This window comes from Homo sapiens, chromosome X, assembly GCF_000001405.40.
Source record: "Homo sapiens chromosome X, GRCh38.p14 Primary Assembly".
Lineage (NCBI taxonomy): Eukaryota > Metazoa > Chordata > Mammalia > Primates > Hominidae > Homo > Homo sapiens.
In genome coordinates, this window is record NC_000023.11 from 24,715,940 (window position 1) to 24,733,306 (window position 17,367).

At 38.6% G+C, this 17,367-nt stretch overlaps 1 protein-coding gene across 16 annotated transcripts in view; it reads left to right on the top strand.

The window, feature by feature from the left end:
* Nucleotides 1–17,367, top strand: part of POLA1 (DNA polymerase alpha 1, catalytic subunit) — a 303,069-nt gene that overhangs the window by 22,022 nt on the left and 263,680 nt on the right. For 15 of the 16 annotated variants that reach the window (NR_165483.1, NR_165482.1, NM_001440806.1 and 12 more), the window contains 10 exons: nt 423–515; nt 945–1,032; nt 1,351–1,552; nt 1,641–1,819; nt 7,216–7,328; nt 8,396–8,512; nt 10,042–10,116; nt 10,994–11,132; nt 11,843–11,997; nt 16,431–16,515. Coding sequence is in view for 14 of the 16 variants with exons in the window: in NM_001440806.1 (NP_001427735.1) it covers nt 423–515; nt 945–1,032; nt 1,351–1,552; nt 1,641–1,819; nt 7,216–7,328; nt 8,396–8,512; nt 10,042–10,116; nt 10,994–11,132; nt 11,843–11,997; nt 16,431–16,515 (1,246 nt within the window). In the remaining 2 variants the exon portion in view is untranslated. The remainder of the gene's footprint in view (nt 1–422; nt 516–944; nt 1,033–1,350; nt 1,553–1,640; nt 1,820–7,215; nt 7,329–8,395; nt 8,513–10,041; nt 10,117–10,993; nt 11,133–11,842; nt 11,998–16,430; nt 16,516–17,367) is intronic. The other variant, NM_001378303.1, reaches the window with a different exon arrangement.

Here is a 17,367-nt window from a genome sequence, read left to right on the forward strand (position 1 = left end):
AAACAGGATTAGCTGCATTGTGAATTTGAGATTTGGCCATTTCCCATAAAGACTACGCTCTCATTTAGAAGTGTACTTCTTTTAAAGTGACCATTGATTAAAATGACTTAACAACAACACCATGTAGTTTTATCTTGACAATTTTTAAATGTAATATTCTCAAAGGGTCAGTGAAAGTATGTTAAATTTTAAGAAGAAAAAATTTGGGAGGGGGTAGATTTAATATCTATTTTAGTTTTCTTGTGATTTCTATAGTATTGTTGCTATAGTAACCACAGTACATGACATCGATGGGAGGGGGGAGGGGGAAAGGGAAAGAAAAGAAAGCTTTGCTTATTGGGCTTCAATGAGTGAAGAAGTATACTTTTTCTGTCTGTGGTAAACCAAGCATGGCAGTGAATATGTCTTACCTTTCCTTTTAGACACCTCAAATAACTCCACCACCTGTAATGATACTGAAGAAGAAAAGATCCATTGGAGCTTCACCGAATCCTTTCTCTGTGCACACCGCCACGGTAAAGTGTGTAGAGATACCTTCAATCTTGATTTATAGTATTGCTTTAAACTTATTTTGTTGCTTTTCTGTATGAGGGAAATACCTTTACATTTGTTTTTGATTTTTGTTTTAAATTAGGACTCCCATTCAATTTATAGTTTCATGTATTTCAAAAATAGCATGTGCCTGCCTTTTTCATAGTAAATTTGCAGTAACTAGTGTGTGTTTATTATAGGTATTACAACTGTGGTAAATGCAATAATTTTCCTCCCAGAAGCAAGTATTTTTTTGTAAACCTAGGTAACAGTAAAATAATTGAAGCTGTTACATTAATAATACATAAAATCTTTTTATAAAAGGGAACTGTCATTATCTTTGGTCAGGGTAGGACAGTTGCATATTTTTAGTATGTAGGTCTAACTGACTAAATATTTAAAAACGTTTACAGGCAGTTCCTTCAGGAAAAATTGCTTCCCCTGTCTCCAGAAAGGAGCCTCCATTAACTCCTGTTCCTCTTAAACGTGCTGAATTTGCTGGTAAGTGTGATGTCAGGCAGAATTGCAAGAGTGTTGAGTGGTTTCTGTCAAAAATGGAGGCCCTATGATGGAGGAGGTAGAGGAGATTTTGAAGGTGTTGTGATGGCAAGTTTAAATGTGAAGATTTGAATTCATAAAAATTTCAGTAAAAGTTAAAAACACCCAATTTGGAGATTAAAGAGAAATGCAAACATAGTATAGAAAAGGGACAGGCTGCTATTTTAGTGTTGGATAAGCCTTTGTGCGCCTTTGTGTGCCTTTGTGTGCCTTTGTGTCATCGCAATAACACATGACAAGAATGTGTGATGATGCCTACAGGCGATGATGTACAGGTCGAGAGTACAGAAGAAGAGCAGGAGTCAGGGGCAATGGAGTTTGAAGATGGTGACTTTGATGAGCCCATGGAAGTTGAAGAGGTGGACCTGGAGCCTATGGCTGCCAAGGCTTGGGACAAAGAGAGTGAGCCAGCAGAGGAAGTGAAACAAGAGGCGGATTCTGGGAAAGGGACCGTGTCCTACTTGTAAGAGCATTTTATGACTTTTCTGGCAAATAGGACCACAATTTTTCTGTTGGATTTTGAAAGGTTTTTGAAAATGTGATTTCTGCAGAGGAAGTTTTCTCCCGGATGTCTCTTGTTGGGACATTGATCAAGAAGGTGATAGCAGTTTCTCAGTGCAAGAAGTTCAAGTGGATTCCAGTCACCTCCCATTGGTAAAAGGGGCAGATGAGGAACAAGTATTCCACTTTTATTGGTTGGATGCTTATGAGGATCAGTACAACCAACCAGGTAATCATATATAAGGTAACTATATGCCTTTAACTCAGAGTAGGACTTTTCCCTTAAATATTTTATTTTTTGTTTCTTTTTGTGTGTTTTGTCTTTTTATTTAATCAGTTTATTTCTGTTTTTTTTTTCTTTATCCTTAAATACTTGAGTCACTGTAATTAGCTCAGGTCAGGCCCTGCCCTCACTTAACATGTATTGTAAGAGAGCGACACTCATTCATTGTAAAGTGAATGCGCCACCCTGATGGAGAAGAGCTATGGTGCGAATAATCCTTAAAGATGCTTATTCCAAAAATCAGTTACATATGGTTTTGGAATGTGTGTTTGTAGTTCACTATTGATGTGTCTGAAGTTACAGGAATGCACTTTAATTTAAAGGGAATCAGTCATTAATTTGTCTGTTTCTTCAGCAAATTTGAATGCCTATTGTGTGCTAGGCACTGAGATGGGATGAATAAGCTGGACAAATTCGTGCACTATAATGGAGCTTATGTTCTAGGAGGGTGGCAGTGGGTGGGGGCACATTAGCAGTAAATGAGATAAATTGATAAATGATGTAAAGAAAATTAGTTGGGCGATGGCCAGGGGAGGCCTGTCTGAGGAAATGACCACTGGGCTGAGATTTGAGGTATTTGCAGAGCTGGTGAAAGGGCATTTCAGCTTAACGAGCCAAGTACTAGCAAAGGCCTAGAGAGAGGAAGGAGGAGGCCTGTGTGGTTGTAGCATAGTAATCAAGTGACAAGATTGGTATAAAATGAAGCTGGAGATAAAGACAAAGGCCAGATAATGTAGGACTTTGAAAGCCTCGTTAAGGAGTTTGAATCTTCTAAGAGCAATGGGGTGGCATTGGAGGGTTTTAAGTACAGGGGGTGGTGGTCACGTAATTGGGTTTACATTTTAACAGGAACAGTGGTTTGTGTAGAGAATAAGCACTGTGGTGCATGTGTGCGTGTGCACACACACGTGGAGGGATGGGCTGGTGTAGGGTAATGGGGAAGTGTGGAAGCCCTGGAGATCAGTCAATCCAGGGCAGGGCTGCTAGTTACTTGGACCCTGGTGGCTGGAGAGGAGAGAAGTAAAGGCATTTGACATGTCTTTTGACACAAACTTGTTAATGGATTGGATGGGGGAGGTGACAGAAAGGAGGAATCAAGGATGATTTCTAGGTCATCTTAATGAGCTAATACTGTGAATTCTTGACTCACAAAAAGCCCGGAGGCTGTTCGGTATTCTTTTGTGCCTCTTTGAGCCCGTCTTCATTGTGGGACTGTGCATTGCAAGATCTGTCAGATTAATGTTAAATACAGTATGCACTCTTAAACAGAGTTGTCTTTATTTAGATCCTTTTTGGATCTGTGGTACATGCAAATAGTGTATTTTTCAAAGCGGTTTCCTGGAGGCTGTATCTAGTGAAAAGAGAGGGAGTACCTAGATGTCAGCAAAGCAAGCGTGTGAGTAAATTGAAGGCCACATTTACCTTAAAGATAACCAGGCATTGACTTTAATTGGAAAAATGTTAATGATCTCTGGCAGGGGTGGGGGCGGTCAGAAGCATTAATATGCTTCAGCTTATCAAATATATATAAACTCTTGAGCCACTTGAGTAGCACACTGCCATGTGTTAGTTTCTTAGGAAAAGATATAATCAATTTTAGAAATGATATCTTAATTTACTTTAGCTAGGACAAAATGATTTGATTATACCCCCTCACCTCTTTGACTATTTTGTTACTCTGCTGGAAGTCTGGCAAGTATGATTACATGAGGCTAAGCAGATGATTTCCCATCCATTGCTGAAACCCAGGGCTGCCCCATTGTACAACCTCAGGGAATACCATTTTCACGTGACTTTCCTGGAGCACAGCAGTGTGACTGGTGCTCCCTGGAGCTGGGCAGCACACTGGCCTGGCTATCCCAGTATTACTCCCCGTACTTTGCTGCATCTGCTCAATGCTGCATTTCATTCCCTATCTTGGTTAATGGTCCCATCAAAACCAGAAACCTGGGAGCCATCCTTGATTCCCTCCTTTTCCTCACTTTCCTTTCCAAGTCTGGTTAGTTTTCTCTGCCGAAAGTGGACAACTTACCTTCTCTTTTTCCTCATATCTACCACCCTGATCCCTTCTTGCCCACTGAAACAATTGCACCAGCCTCCTAATTGATCTCTTAGCTATCGTCTTCCACATCACTGCTAGAGGGACTGATCAGAAGGGCAATTCTGACCATGTCAGTCGTCATTAAAAAAAAAAAATCCTCAGTGGCTACTGCCTACAACATAAAGTCCAAACTGCTTAGCAAGGCTTCTGATGCCTGCTGTCTATGAATTTTGTTCCCTAGAAATAATTCTCTGTATGTACTTTTCTGCTCTTTATACCTGTGTTCCTTTACTCCTTGTTTTTTGTCTGATTGGAATGTGCTCATCTGACTCATTCTTTAAAATTCAGCCCAGATGTTATCTCCTGGGAGTGTACCTAAACCTCCAGACGGGTCTAGGAGCCCTTTCTCCTTGTGACTACATCATAGCCTTTCCCACTGTAGCGTTTGTCCTATTATTTTGAAATGAACTGAGTCTGTGTTTTTCTTTGCCACAAAGCCTGTAAGCTCCTGGAGGGCTGGGATCTTTTATTTCCAGCATCCAGCAGCAATGCCTTGCACATAGTACGTGTTTAATAAATAGTTGTTGAAATAAACTGCACAGTGACTGACAGTCCTGTAGATGCAGGTGAAAAATTTCAGAGACTAGTGTTGCATTTGCTACTATTCCTGAGTTTGCATCTTAATGCCTTGTAGCTTTGTGGGGTATGAGAATGCGTAACACAAAAGCAAATGGTTCCCCACTCCCCCACAACCCCACAAAGTAAATACATCCATAAGGCTTCATATTGCCAGCGTCAGTTGCCAAGGATTAGAACCTTAAGAAGCAACAACCTTCTTTCTTTCTTATTTGAAAATGAGTTGGTTATTTCTACATTTCGTTTACTGGCTGATACTCTTAGTAAACAGAGCATTGTTTTGCAGGGTAAGGATCTAGAGCTGCATTGTCCACTGTGGTAGCCACCAGCCACTTGTAGCTCTTTACATTTAAATTAATTAAAATGCAATACAAATTAAAATTTATTTTCTTGGTCACTAGCCACATTTCAGGTGTTCAATAGCAACTGTGGCTAGTAGCTACCATATTGGATGGCTCAGAAACAACAATTCCATCATCACAGAAATTTATTTCAACTAGTGCTGGTCTGTAGTGACAAGTGTTGGAAGATTGAAGCATTGAAGCACAGTTATATTTGCAAAGCAACCAGTTTATGATATATGATGGTGTTGAATTCCTGGTACTGACCATAGTCATGGATAGGCTTTTTCAACCAATATTGGAAAATATTTTGCAATTGAAAGAGATACTAATTTGTTATTGATCTGTCATCCAAATGCTAAGGCAGAATGAAATTTCTGGTGCTGGAGAAGGCCTCAGAGATCATCTAGTCTAGTTATGCACTTAAGAAACTGAGGCTCTGAAAGATATAATAGCTCTTTAGTGGTAGAAGCTTGGGCTTCTCACCCTCAGTCCACTCTGCTGTTCTGGTTCCGTGGTACTTCTCAAGTTGTGTTCTCTCCTATGGCACATCTTCTCTGTTATTGATGCCAACGGGTTAAATAAGATAGCTTAAAAAAACTCCTTTAATCTCAGAGTGTTGAACACTTTCATTGTGATAGCAGGTAATGATCACTGAGCTTTGGTGAAATCAATGCTGCTAATAAAAATGAAGTACTCCAAAAGACCCTGTTATTGTTTCTCACTTTCTAACAGATTCTAAGTAAGTCAGTTGTTGCTGAATGCTCCATAATTATGAAAAGAATCTTACTCTTTGCATATGGGAAGATATCCTGTCTTCATTATGACTTTTTCAAGGTTGAATAATCCTGACTGCACCTGGTTTCAGCTAGTAACTTTGGGGGGAATGTGATCTTTGTTTACCATGATCTTTGTTGTGTCAAATGAGGCATAAACAGTGTCAAATGTGTTGCATGAAGTGTGATATTAGTTTGACAGTAAAATGAGCTTATTTGAATCTTTGAATCCAATATTAGGGTCTTTATTTTTCTTTGCATAGCATTTTGTTTTTCCATCTTTAACTGTTGTGAGGATGACTTTTAATTTTCTGAGTTACTGTGATTTTTTTTCTTTCTTAATCTTCCCATAGTCCTTCCTTCCCTCTCCCTCCCCATCCACCCTCCGTTACCCCCTCAAGCTGAAAGTCTCACAACTCTTGTAAGAATTTTAATCATCTGCAGAAATGAAAATTCTTAGATCGTCTTATTTCTACCAGGATGTGTGAAAAAAGGAGTCACTGATGAGTAGTCTTTCAAACTGGGGTAATTGACCTTGTGAACAGTAGCCTTTGCATGTACCAGAATTTTCTTAGTGTCTCAGATAAGTGGCTGTGTTGAGTGGCTTTGTTGATTACTGCTGTCTAATTATTCATGGAGCCCAGGATTTTGCACAGTGACCATCTCCTGGGTTGACTAACAAATGTTTGCAGTCTGTTCTTCGTGGCCAATTTTCATAAACAATGATTTGATGTCTAAAAAGGTGTGGTTTTACTTTATGGTATTCATTACTTAAATTACTGAAATAGAATAGAAAGGAACATTATAAACACTTACCTAGTTAGATGTCCTAAGTAGCTGTGAGGTAGAAAAGGTGAAATAGAAGATAATAGTAGTCCCTATTGTGAGGTATTTATTATTATATGGAATAAGAAATAAGAAGTAAATTATGTTTTTTGTAAACACAGTTTTACATATAGAAAAACACTGATGCACTAGTTATCCTGATACATGAATATTGGTTTTTATAGGTAAATACAAGCGCTAAAAAATTAGAATTATATTCTCAGATCTGTAATCTCACAAGAGGCTTAATTATGAGATTTGTTGGAAAATACTTTCCTTATGTTTGTTTCTCTTTTTTTTTTCTTGAGACAGGGTTTTGCTGTGTTGACCAGGCTGGTCTCAAACTCCTGAGCTCAAGCGATCTGCCCACCTCGGCCTTCCGAAGTGCTGGGATCACAGGCATGAGCCACTGTGCTCGGCCTGTTTTGTTTCTCTTAATCTGTATAATCCTGGTTGTGGGGAAAGTGTTTATGCAAGTTAGAGAATCATTCTGTCCCCTGTCCTCCCAGTGGTCATACACTGTATCATTGTGTTAGTGTAGTATGGCATCAGTACTGAGTAAAGAACTGGTCTTGGGGAGTGGGAAATGGATATATTTGCTGTCAAAATGAGTTATCATGAAGGTATAAATGTGTGGACACATTCAGTGAGCCTCTATATTGTTCCTTTAATTAGGTGAAATTGAAATGTTTCTTTTCTCGTGATTTTCACTTATTCTTTCAGGTGTGGTATTTCTGTTTGGGAAAGTTTGGATTGAATCAGCCGAGACCCATGTGAGCTGTTGTGTCATGGTGAAAAATATCGAGCGAACGCTTTACTTCCTTCCCCGTGAAATGGTAAACATTAGTGATTAGCTTTTAGTTCTCAGTCGTTGTATCTGCCACACATTCTGTGTTTTGCAGCCAGCTCTCTCTCTTTCAATAGGGCTACAAATTCTCTACAATCCTGATGCTTCTTTCTTGCTGCTTGCCTGGTGACCACTGATTGTCAGCAATTCTATTAGAGGTTGGGAAAAGTAGAAAAAATAAAGTAGAACTCAGTTTTTCAACTAGTTAGAGTATAAAAGTTTCTGAGATTTAGTATATAATGCTTTCTTTCTCTCACTCCTCATTTCCATAATAATCAGGGTTGGAACTATAAGTCTCTAAAATGTGACATGGCATTTGGCCCAGTTTTCATGGTTTTGCTGCATAGGCAGCAGTGATATTCCCTCCATTGCCATTTATTAACAAGTTCAATTCTATTTGCTTCTTTTTTTTTCTTTATTGAGACGGAGCCTAGCCCTGTTGCCCAGGCTGGAGTGCAATGGCACAATCTCGGCTCACTGCAACCTCCGCCTTCTGGGTTCAAACAGTTTTCCTGCCTCAGCCTCCCGAGTAGCTGGGATTACAGGCGCCTGCCACCACACTGAGCTAATTTTTGTATTTTTAGTAGATACAGGGTTTCACCATGTTGATCAGGCTGGTCTCAAACTCCTGACCTTGTGATCTGCCCGCCTTGGCCTCCCAAAGTGCTGGGATTACAGGCATGAGCCACTGCGCTCAGTCTGCTTCTCCTTTTTTATTGGGACTTAACATCCCCATTTCCCTCTCAGCCCCTCCCTATATCAGTTGAACTGTGGAGTCTCTTGGTCAGGATTTACAACACTTATTCTTCCATTTTGTAGACTTGATCATCTTTATCGCTGATTTGTTTTTTATGATGCCATTGGGAGGAATTGGGCATTTGGTTTAGTACATTTTTTGGGTCTGTTTGTATCTTTGAACTTATCTGTAAGACTGCTATTAAATGTTTAAATGGGTGAGGATGAAAATTGATATAGACTTGGATTTTTGGTGGTTGAGAAGATCATTTATGTACAGATACTTTTTTTTCCCCTCTGTCCCCTTCTCTGGGATAACAGAAAATTGATCTAAATACGGGGAAAGAAACAGGAACTCCAATTTCAATGAAGGATGTTTATGAGGAATTTGATGAGAAAATAGCAACAAAATATAAAATTATGAAGTTCAAGTCTAAGGTTTGTATTTGGCGATGATTTTTTTCCAGCTCTGTTTGTTGTTTATTTTCTGATTTAGCAAATAGTTATTGCATATTTTCTTTGTGTAAAATGCCTTCTGTGCAGCTATAATTTATTGAATGGAAATTTCATAGGTATGAATGTAAAAACAGTATATTAGATTTGCAAAAATATTTTTTCTTTCTCTTTAAACTGCTTATAAAATAATGTTTATTAATTTGAATAGAAAGACAATCCATAGCAAATTAATTGCCTCTGGTGCTTGCAACATGTCTTGTGCTCTCATTCCCAAGTGCAGAAGAAACTGCTCTGATCTCGTTTATATTAGTTGTTGCCAAGATGTTTTGGTTAGAAAGTTAAGTAAGGTTTTATTTTTAAAAGTCAGGGACTATGATACAGTCTGATAGAATGAAAATCTCTGGTTCATGTGCTAGTTATGATACATTGTCTTGATTTTAGTGAGATATTGATGTCTTTGGCCATAATCGTGGGGGCTATAGCCTGCTCAAAATACTGGCTATTAATAATGATCGCAGGAAGGATTGAGTTGCTGAAGATAAGGCTAACAGTATTAACTATTTGAGTTTTGAATTGCCGCTGATGAGTCAAGTCTTTATAATTCTAGAAGCAATTGTGATATACTGGTGAAGAGCTTAGGTGCTGAGGCCGGACTGCTTGTGGTTTAAGTCCTAGCCCTATTACTTACTAGCATGTAACTTGGACAAGTGCTGAATGACTACTTTTTTTTTTTTTTTTTTTTTGAGATGGAGTCTTGCTCTGTTGTCCAGGTTGGAGTGCAGTGGTGCGATCTTGGCTCACTGCAACCTCCACCTCCTGGGTTTAAGCAATTCTCCTGCCTCAGCCTCCTGAGTAGCTGGGATTACAGGCACCCGCCACAATGCCCAGCTAATTTTTTTTGTATTTTTAGTAGAGCTGGAGTTTCACCATGTTGGCCAGGCTGGTCTTGAACTCCAGACCTCAAGTGATCCGCCCGCCTCGGCCTCCCAAAGTGCTGGGATAACAGGCGTGAGCCACCGTGCCCAGCCGAATGACTTCTTTATGCCTGTTTCTTCATCTGAGAAATAGGGCCCTATTTCAAGAGTTGCCGGAAGGGTTAAATCCATTAATTCATATTAGATGATGAGAGCAGTCCTTGCCAGATAGCCAACACTCAGTAAATATAAGCTATAATTATAATGCTAATTATTAATCTAGCAAGATGGAGTTGCTTAATATCAAATAGTAGCAAATCATTTAATGCATTAACATTGTAAAAAATTTTAAATTTTTATTGCCCCTCTTGCATGCAAATATTTCTGAGTTCTGTAGTGTCCAAGATGAGTCCTTTTAGCATTTTGACACTGGTTGTTTTAGTTCCAATTGAAAGAGGAAAGGGTACCTTTTTGGCTTCATTTACCTTTGTGTTCCATAAGGATTCTTGATGATTAAATACAAGAGCATGTATTGTAATACTGGTTAGTTTGTGAAGTTTTTGTCTTAAGGATTTTTTAAAATATCTACTTACCCAGCCAGTGGAAAAGAACTATGCTTTTGAGATACCTGATGTTCCAGAAAAATCTGAGTACTTGGAAGTTAAATACTCGGTAAGTCAAACAAAGAAAATTACTGGGTTTTGCTTGAGAATGACATTTTTCTGTTTTTGAACTTTCAACTGACTTTCAGTTACGAGTATTGGCAGGGCTTCTCAAGCCCACAGTTCATTGAGGTGGATTTATAGTAATGAATAATTGAAATGGATAAAATTAATTTAAGTATATAGACTACAGGTTACACTGCCTTTCTCTGCTTTTGAGTATGCATCTTTAAATAAATAAGTTGAAACAGCACGACTGTTTGTCAAGTGGAATGAATGCCACATGATGGAGTTGGACATCATTAGTCTGCTGAAGTGTCCCTTATGAGCAGTGGAAAGGTGAGAGAGGAGTGTCAGTAGCATTGCTATAGTGCTGCTCTTGCTCCTGTGACAGGCAAGGTCATTGCTATAGGATGTTAATTAACTGGACCTTAACCTCTTTTTACCTCTGTTCTAGTGTTTTGTTCCCACAACGTTGGAAAAGGAAAACTTTTAAGAACTATTTCTGACAGTGGTGATGAAAAGTATTTTCAATGAGTTCCACTCTGTTGCTTTCATTCTTCTAATGGAGTGGTACTTACTTGGCTATTCTTTATCAGTAAAGCATGTACAGCTCTGGACAGAAATTTTCTTTTGGGGGAGCTTCTTGGCCTATTTTTCTTCTAATGGGTGTCATCAAGATGCATTATTTTGTCATTGTGAATTGGTTTTGTTTCCTACTGTGAATTGTTTTGGATTTCATTTGTGGCAAATTACATTTCATATATATCAAAGGGGTTTTCTTCTGTGCTTCATAGAGAGGCTTTTGTTTATTTCAAATATAGACTTTGGAAAATGCAAAGTAATAGTTTTAAACAAAAAGATTCTTTTTTTTTTTCCTTTTTCAGGCTGAAATGCCACAGCTTCCTCAAGATTTGAAAGGAGAAACTTTTTCTCATGTATTTGGGACCAACACATCTAGCCTGGAACTGTTCTTGATGAACAGAAAGATCAAAGGACCTTGTTGGCTTGAAGTAAAAAGTCCACGTAAGGAAAAATACATGCTCAGAATGCTGAATAGATTGCTGATAGATGTGGTTTTTAAAAGGGAAGTTAGGAAATTGATCTATTTATTTTAATGTGTCTACTTCCTTTTCTGTTTGTTTCTTCAGTTTTCGTTGAGTGAGTATAGGGAGTACATTTGGAATCACCTTATCTCGGTAATGCCTGGCGGTTTAGTCTGAGGGAGGCCTTAGTTTGGGGTGCATCCCTCATTATGCTGTTATTCATATGTACTTCTGACCTGGCTGATGTGGCCCAGCTGTTGTGCATAGTGAACTGCTGACCTTTGAAGGAGAGGAGAATCACTATTCAATATGGATAGTGCATGTTTTTCCTGTTACCTGATGTTTTTCAGTAATTGCTTCTATGATAGTCTGCTTTGTCTTAAAAATGTTTCATGATTCCTCCAAGGCAGTGTTTCAGTTTTTTTAAAACCTATTTTGGGTCCTGGATGCTTTGGAGAATCTGATGAAAGCTATAGACCTCTTTCCCAGGAAAATGAACATATGTACACACACGTGAGGATTTGCATACAACCCAATAATGTGGCTTATTTTTAGTTAGATGTTACAATATGTCATTCTTATTAGAAGGCAGGGTTGAAGAATATGCCAGTTAATGACAGATGTCTTAATTATAGTAGTTTTTCTTTTTCAGTAAATAGCTATTGATCTGTTGTATCTATTCTCTTTCAGAGCTCTTGAATCAGCCAGTCAGTTGGTGTAAAGTTGAGGCAATGGCTTTGAAACCAGACCTGGTGAATGTAATTAAGGATGTCAGTCCACCACCGCTTGTCGTGATGGCTTTCAGCATGAAGACAATGCAGAATGCAAAGAACCATCAAAATGAGGTTTAAAAAATAGGACAGATTTTGTACCCATGCCTTAGATGTGTTACTTGCCTGAACTTGCACAGCTTTGCTTTAAGAGAAAGTTGTTCTTTTTGGAGGGGAAAGAATACTAATTCACTACTAAACTCTTATAGAGAATGAATTGAATTTGTCTAGTGTTGGAGTTTTTTCTTAAAGACTTAAATTGCTGAACTTATTTTTATTTTTGTCTATTAAATTTTTTACTTAGGAGAGCTTCAAATGGACACAGACAGAATAATAAAATGAACTCCCCATACCAATCACTCATATTCAGCAGTTAGCAAGATTTTGTTACACTTGTTTATTTCCCTCCTTTTTTTCTTCTTGAAGTATTTTAAAGCTAGTCTCAGACATTGTGTCATTTTCCCTGTGAACCTTGGTATGCTTCTCTCAAAATGTGGTATTTCTTATATAATACCATTAGCACACCTAATAACATTAACAGTGACTCCTTGGTATAATCTAAAATACCCAGTCCATACTTACATGACTCTGTCTCTCAAGATGCCTTTTAAAACTCAGTTTGTTTGAATCAGGATTCACACAAGATTCGCAGATGGTATTTAATCTATGTGCCTCTTGAATCTCTTTTAAACAGGAAGAACTCACTCCTACTCTCCAGTTTTTTTAATGACATTGAATAATTAAAGAATCATTGTTGGTTGTCTTGTAGAATATCCCGTTTTCTCTATTTATTTGCTTTGTTGTGGTGTCATTGGACTTTTCCTCTATACCAGGGGTTGGCAGGCAATCAATTGTCTGTGAGCCAAATCCAGCCTGCTACCTATTTGTGCAAGTCAAATTTCACTGGAAGACAGCATGTTTACAGCTGCTTTTGCACTATGACAGCAGAATTGAGTAGTAACGGTGACCATATTTAGGCCTGCAAAGCCTAAAATATTTACTGTCTGGCTCTTGAAAGAAAAAGTGTGCTGACCCTGCCTTATCCTTCATATTTCCGCATACTATAAGTGAGCTCTAAAGGATCAAATTAGATTCAGGTTCAACTTTTTTAGCCAAAATGCTTTATAGGTGATGCAGTGTACTTCATATTGCATCATATCAGAAGACACAATGTCTGGTTAAGCTGCTATTAGTTGACAAAGGCTGGGATCAGTGGAAAAAAATAACCTGCTATTAGTGAGTCTGTGTCTGATTAGCAGTTGAATGAATGATAACTATTGTAATTCTCCATCAGTTTTTCATCTAAGGTTTTTTAACTTTGACACTACAGGTATTTTGGGCCGGATAATGCTTTTGTGGGGTACTGTCCTGGGCATTGTAGGATGTTTAACAGCATCCCTGGTCTTTACTTTCTAGATGCCAGTAGCATCCGTCCCCTCTAGTTGTGACAACCAAAAAATGCCTACAAACACATCATCAGATGTCCCCGGGTCAGGGGATGTGTATGTGTGTATAAAATTACCCCCAGTTGAGAACCACTGAGCTAATGGCTTCATTTATTAGTCATTTTTGCCGGAATTAGTTAATTTCATTAGAAGTCGTAAAATGGTGATTTTTTAAAAATTCTGTCCATGGTTTTTAAATTTTTCTATAAAATTAAATTTTTTTCTTTAGCCAGTATTATTTGGTTATGCCATAATGGTTTACACAGGAAAGACAGGATAAATGCTTACTTCCTTCTCTTTAATTGCCAGTTGTCCTAGTAGGAAGTTGGGACCTATATTACATGCAGTCGTGACTGATGCTTTATTTATTTATTTATTTTTGTTGTTATGTTTTAACTTCCTAAGTCCTTTTGACATTGATAGGGATCTTTTTTAACAGCATTTTGTCAGTGTTTTCAGTATTTTCTGATTTTTTTTTTTAGTATGTGTTTTGATCTTTTTTTCTTTCTTTTTTTTGAGACAGAGTCTTACTCTGTTGCCCAGGCTAGAGTGCAGTGACATAGTCTCAGCTTACTGTGGCCTCTGCCTCCCAGGTTCCAGTGATTCTCCTGCCTCAGCCTCCCGAGTAACTGGGATTACAGGTGCGGGCCACTACACATGGTTAATTTTTAGCAGAGGCGGGGTTTCACCATGTTGCCCAGGCTGGTCTTGAACCCCTGACCTCAAGTGATCTGCCCACCCCAGCCTCCCAAAGTGCTGGAATTACAGGCGTGAGCCACTGCACCCGGCGTGATCTTTTAATAATAGTTAATACTGTAGATGGCCATAGTTCATAGTTAAGTGTTTGGGAGAAGTTTAATTAGTAGTTAAAATTTTAAGAAAGTATCCACCTCTAGTGTCCAGAATGAGGTTTCCACATTCCATTTTCTTTTCTTTTTTTTTCTTTTTTTGAGATGGAGTCTTGCTCTGTTGCCTAGGCTGGAGTGGAGTACAGTGATGCGATCTCCGCTCACTGCAACCTCTGTCTCCCGGGTTCAAGTGATTCTCCTGCCTCAGCCTCCTGAGTAACTGGAATTACAGGTGTGCGTCACCACATGCCCAGCTAATTTTTATATTTTTAGTAGAGACGGAGTTTCCCCATGTTGGCCAGGCTAGTCCCAAACTCCTGACCTTAAGTGATCCGCCCACCTTGGCCTCCCAAAGTGCTGGGATTACAGGCGTGAGCTACCATGCCCAACCCCATTTTCTAATAAAAGGAAATTGGGCGCTCTGGAGTAATGGCAGATTCAGGGAAGGAAATGTCCAGGATAAGTCTGGAACATCTTATTATACCAGAAAGCAACGACAGTATTAAAATCTACTGAAGATATGTCAAAAGGACTCAGGAATCAACTTGAAGAGTCTTCTACTGAACAAAGATGGGACAATGTGAGGGTAAGAATAAGTTGAACAGATTGCAACACATCAGATCCATGAGTTCATAATGATATTGTCTGCAATGACACCACATCGATCACTTCTGAAGGAAGCTGGGGAACCAACTCATTATTTTGAAAACTGATAAAGGGATTGAATGAAGGTTTTTGACTTTTCTGAACACATGCTATACCTCAGGCAACCAAATAATTGATGAGGGGAAGTTTCTCTTCATAGACGGTTTCCAGCTAATAAATGAAAGATAAATGGAATAGTACCACTTTGTAATTGCCGGTGAAATAATGGATCTAGGAAGTGATCACCAGTGGGTACTTATATCTCTAAGGTAGAGATGAGCAGACATTATGTGCCTGTGCCTTTGGATAGAAGTAATCAGCGCCTCTAAAGTATTCTTGCCCCAGAATTGAACCTGATTTTGATCAAGCTTTTAGACCTAACTATGAATTTATAGACAGTATGGAGACAGAAAAACAAGTTAAGTGACACTGTTGGGACACAAGTAGTAGAATCCATACTATGGGGCACTCTCTAGGACAAACAGCCTAGTTTCTTTAGCAAGTAAATTATAGGGGAATGACAGATGGGATAGGGTTGTACCTGTAGTTTTACATATCAGCCATTACAAAGTATGGTCCTTGTGTGGTAAATAAAATTGAGATAATTGGAAAATATGAAAATTTAAATTCTGCCTGGATAATTAATGATTTTAAGAAATTACTATTCATGTAATTGTATTAGGTGAGATAATTGTATTGTGATTATATTTTTCAAACTTCTTATCTTTCAGAGTGGTGGTGGTTGTCAGCTGGGTGAGATTTTGCCTCTAAGGGGACATTTAACAATGTCTGGAGACATTTTTGGTTGTCACAACTCAGGGGGTCTGGGAATGGTAATACTGGCAACTAGTAGGGAGATGCTGGGGATGCTGCTAACATCATACAGAGCACAGGACAGCCCCCACAACAAAGAATTATTTGGCCCAAGGTGTTAATAGCTCCATGATTGAGAAACCCAGTTTTAGAGATTGATGCTGAAATCTTCCCAGATAAAATGATGGGTTTGGGTTTTGCTTCAAAATAATCTAGAGAGAGGAAGGAAGTAGGTAGGGTTATAGATGAGTTGATAATTGAAACTGGATGATGGCTATACAGGAGTTAATTTTATTTTGTCTATTTTTAATGTGTTTACATATTTTTATAATAAAAAGTTTAAAGTATTTATTATTTTTCGAGACAGAGTCTCACTCTGTCACCCATGCTGGAGCGCAGTGGTGCGATCTCAGTTCACTACAACCTCTGCCTCTTGGGTTCAAGTGATTCTCCTGCCTCAGTCTCCCGAGTAGCTGGGATTACAGGTGCACGCCACCATGCCCAGCTAAGTACTGTATTTTTAGTAGAGACGGGGTTTTACCATGTTGGCCAGGCTCGTCTCGAACTCCTGACCTCAAGTGGTCCACCCGCCTCAGCCTCTCAGAGTGCTGGAATTACAGGCATGAGCCACCACGCCTGGCCAAACTTTTCATATGTGTTTAAATGTGTATCTTTAAATATTCTTGGTGATTTTGGTGAGAATGCAGAATGTATAGTAGCGGTCTGGTAAGTGGGTTTTTTCCTCCTTTCTTTGCAGATTATTGCTATGGCAGCTTTGGTCCATCACAGTTTTGCATTGGATAAAGCAGCCCCAAAGCCTCCCTTTCAGTCACACTTCTGTGGTATGTATTTTTTTTTAAGCTGGCTTACTAACAGCTTGATTTGAATTTCCTTATTTTTTCTCCAGCTATTGGATCAGTAACTTGTTTTTCAAAAATTGTTTTCAAGAATAGTGCATATTGTTAAAGAGGGTTTTGTTTTTTTTTGTTTTTTTTTTTTTTGCCATGGAAACTAAGTTTTATTGGGTTGGTTGCCTCCTATTCAGCTGGTTCATTTTTTTTTTTCTAGGAGAAGTCTGGAGTCTATTTGACATCTTTTTTTTGTTTCAATGGTTGCTCTACTGAGGTTGAGTAGTTTTTTCCTGGGTCAAAATTAGACTTTATTTTCTGATGTCATTCTAATAGCCTATCATAGAAGCTTGATCAAAGTTTTCTGTGTGATGAGGCAAGATGCCAAGGAATAAATATTTACCTATTTGGGAGGAGTTATAGTAATAAGAATTGGAGTTGGGTTGTGCTATGCATAAAATTCAATGGATGAAACAATTCCACCAAGTTCTGCATATGTGTTTTATGAGTCAGTCTCCAAGGAGGATTCTGATATATTCCATGTTGAGAGCTTGGCCAGTTACCTAAGCATTTTGCTGTTTTTTAAAAAAGGGAATAATACCATTGACCTATTATATTTCCTGGGATCTTTTTCAGCCCAGAAGCAGAGATTAACTTGGCGAGCCTCTCGTCTGGTTTTCTTGGGTGTTAGGAAAGTAGGACTAAAACATGCAGAGAAGGGAGTATGAGATATGATTGTTGTGAAGTTTTCCCCCTTAAGTGGGTGGAACACATGGAACAAAATGGTGATGAGAATAGCCTGGAAAATATGTAGAAGAGAGCAATCATGAGTTCATTTCAACACGC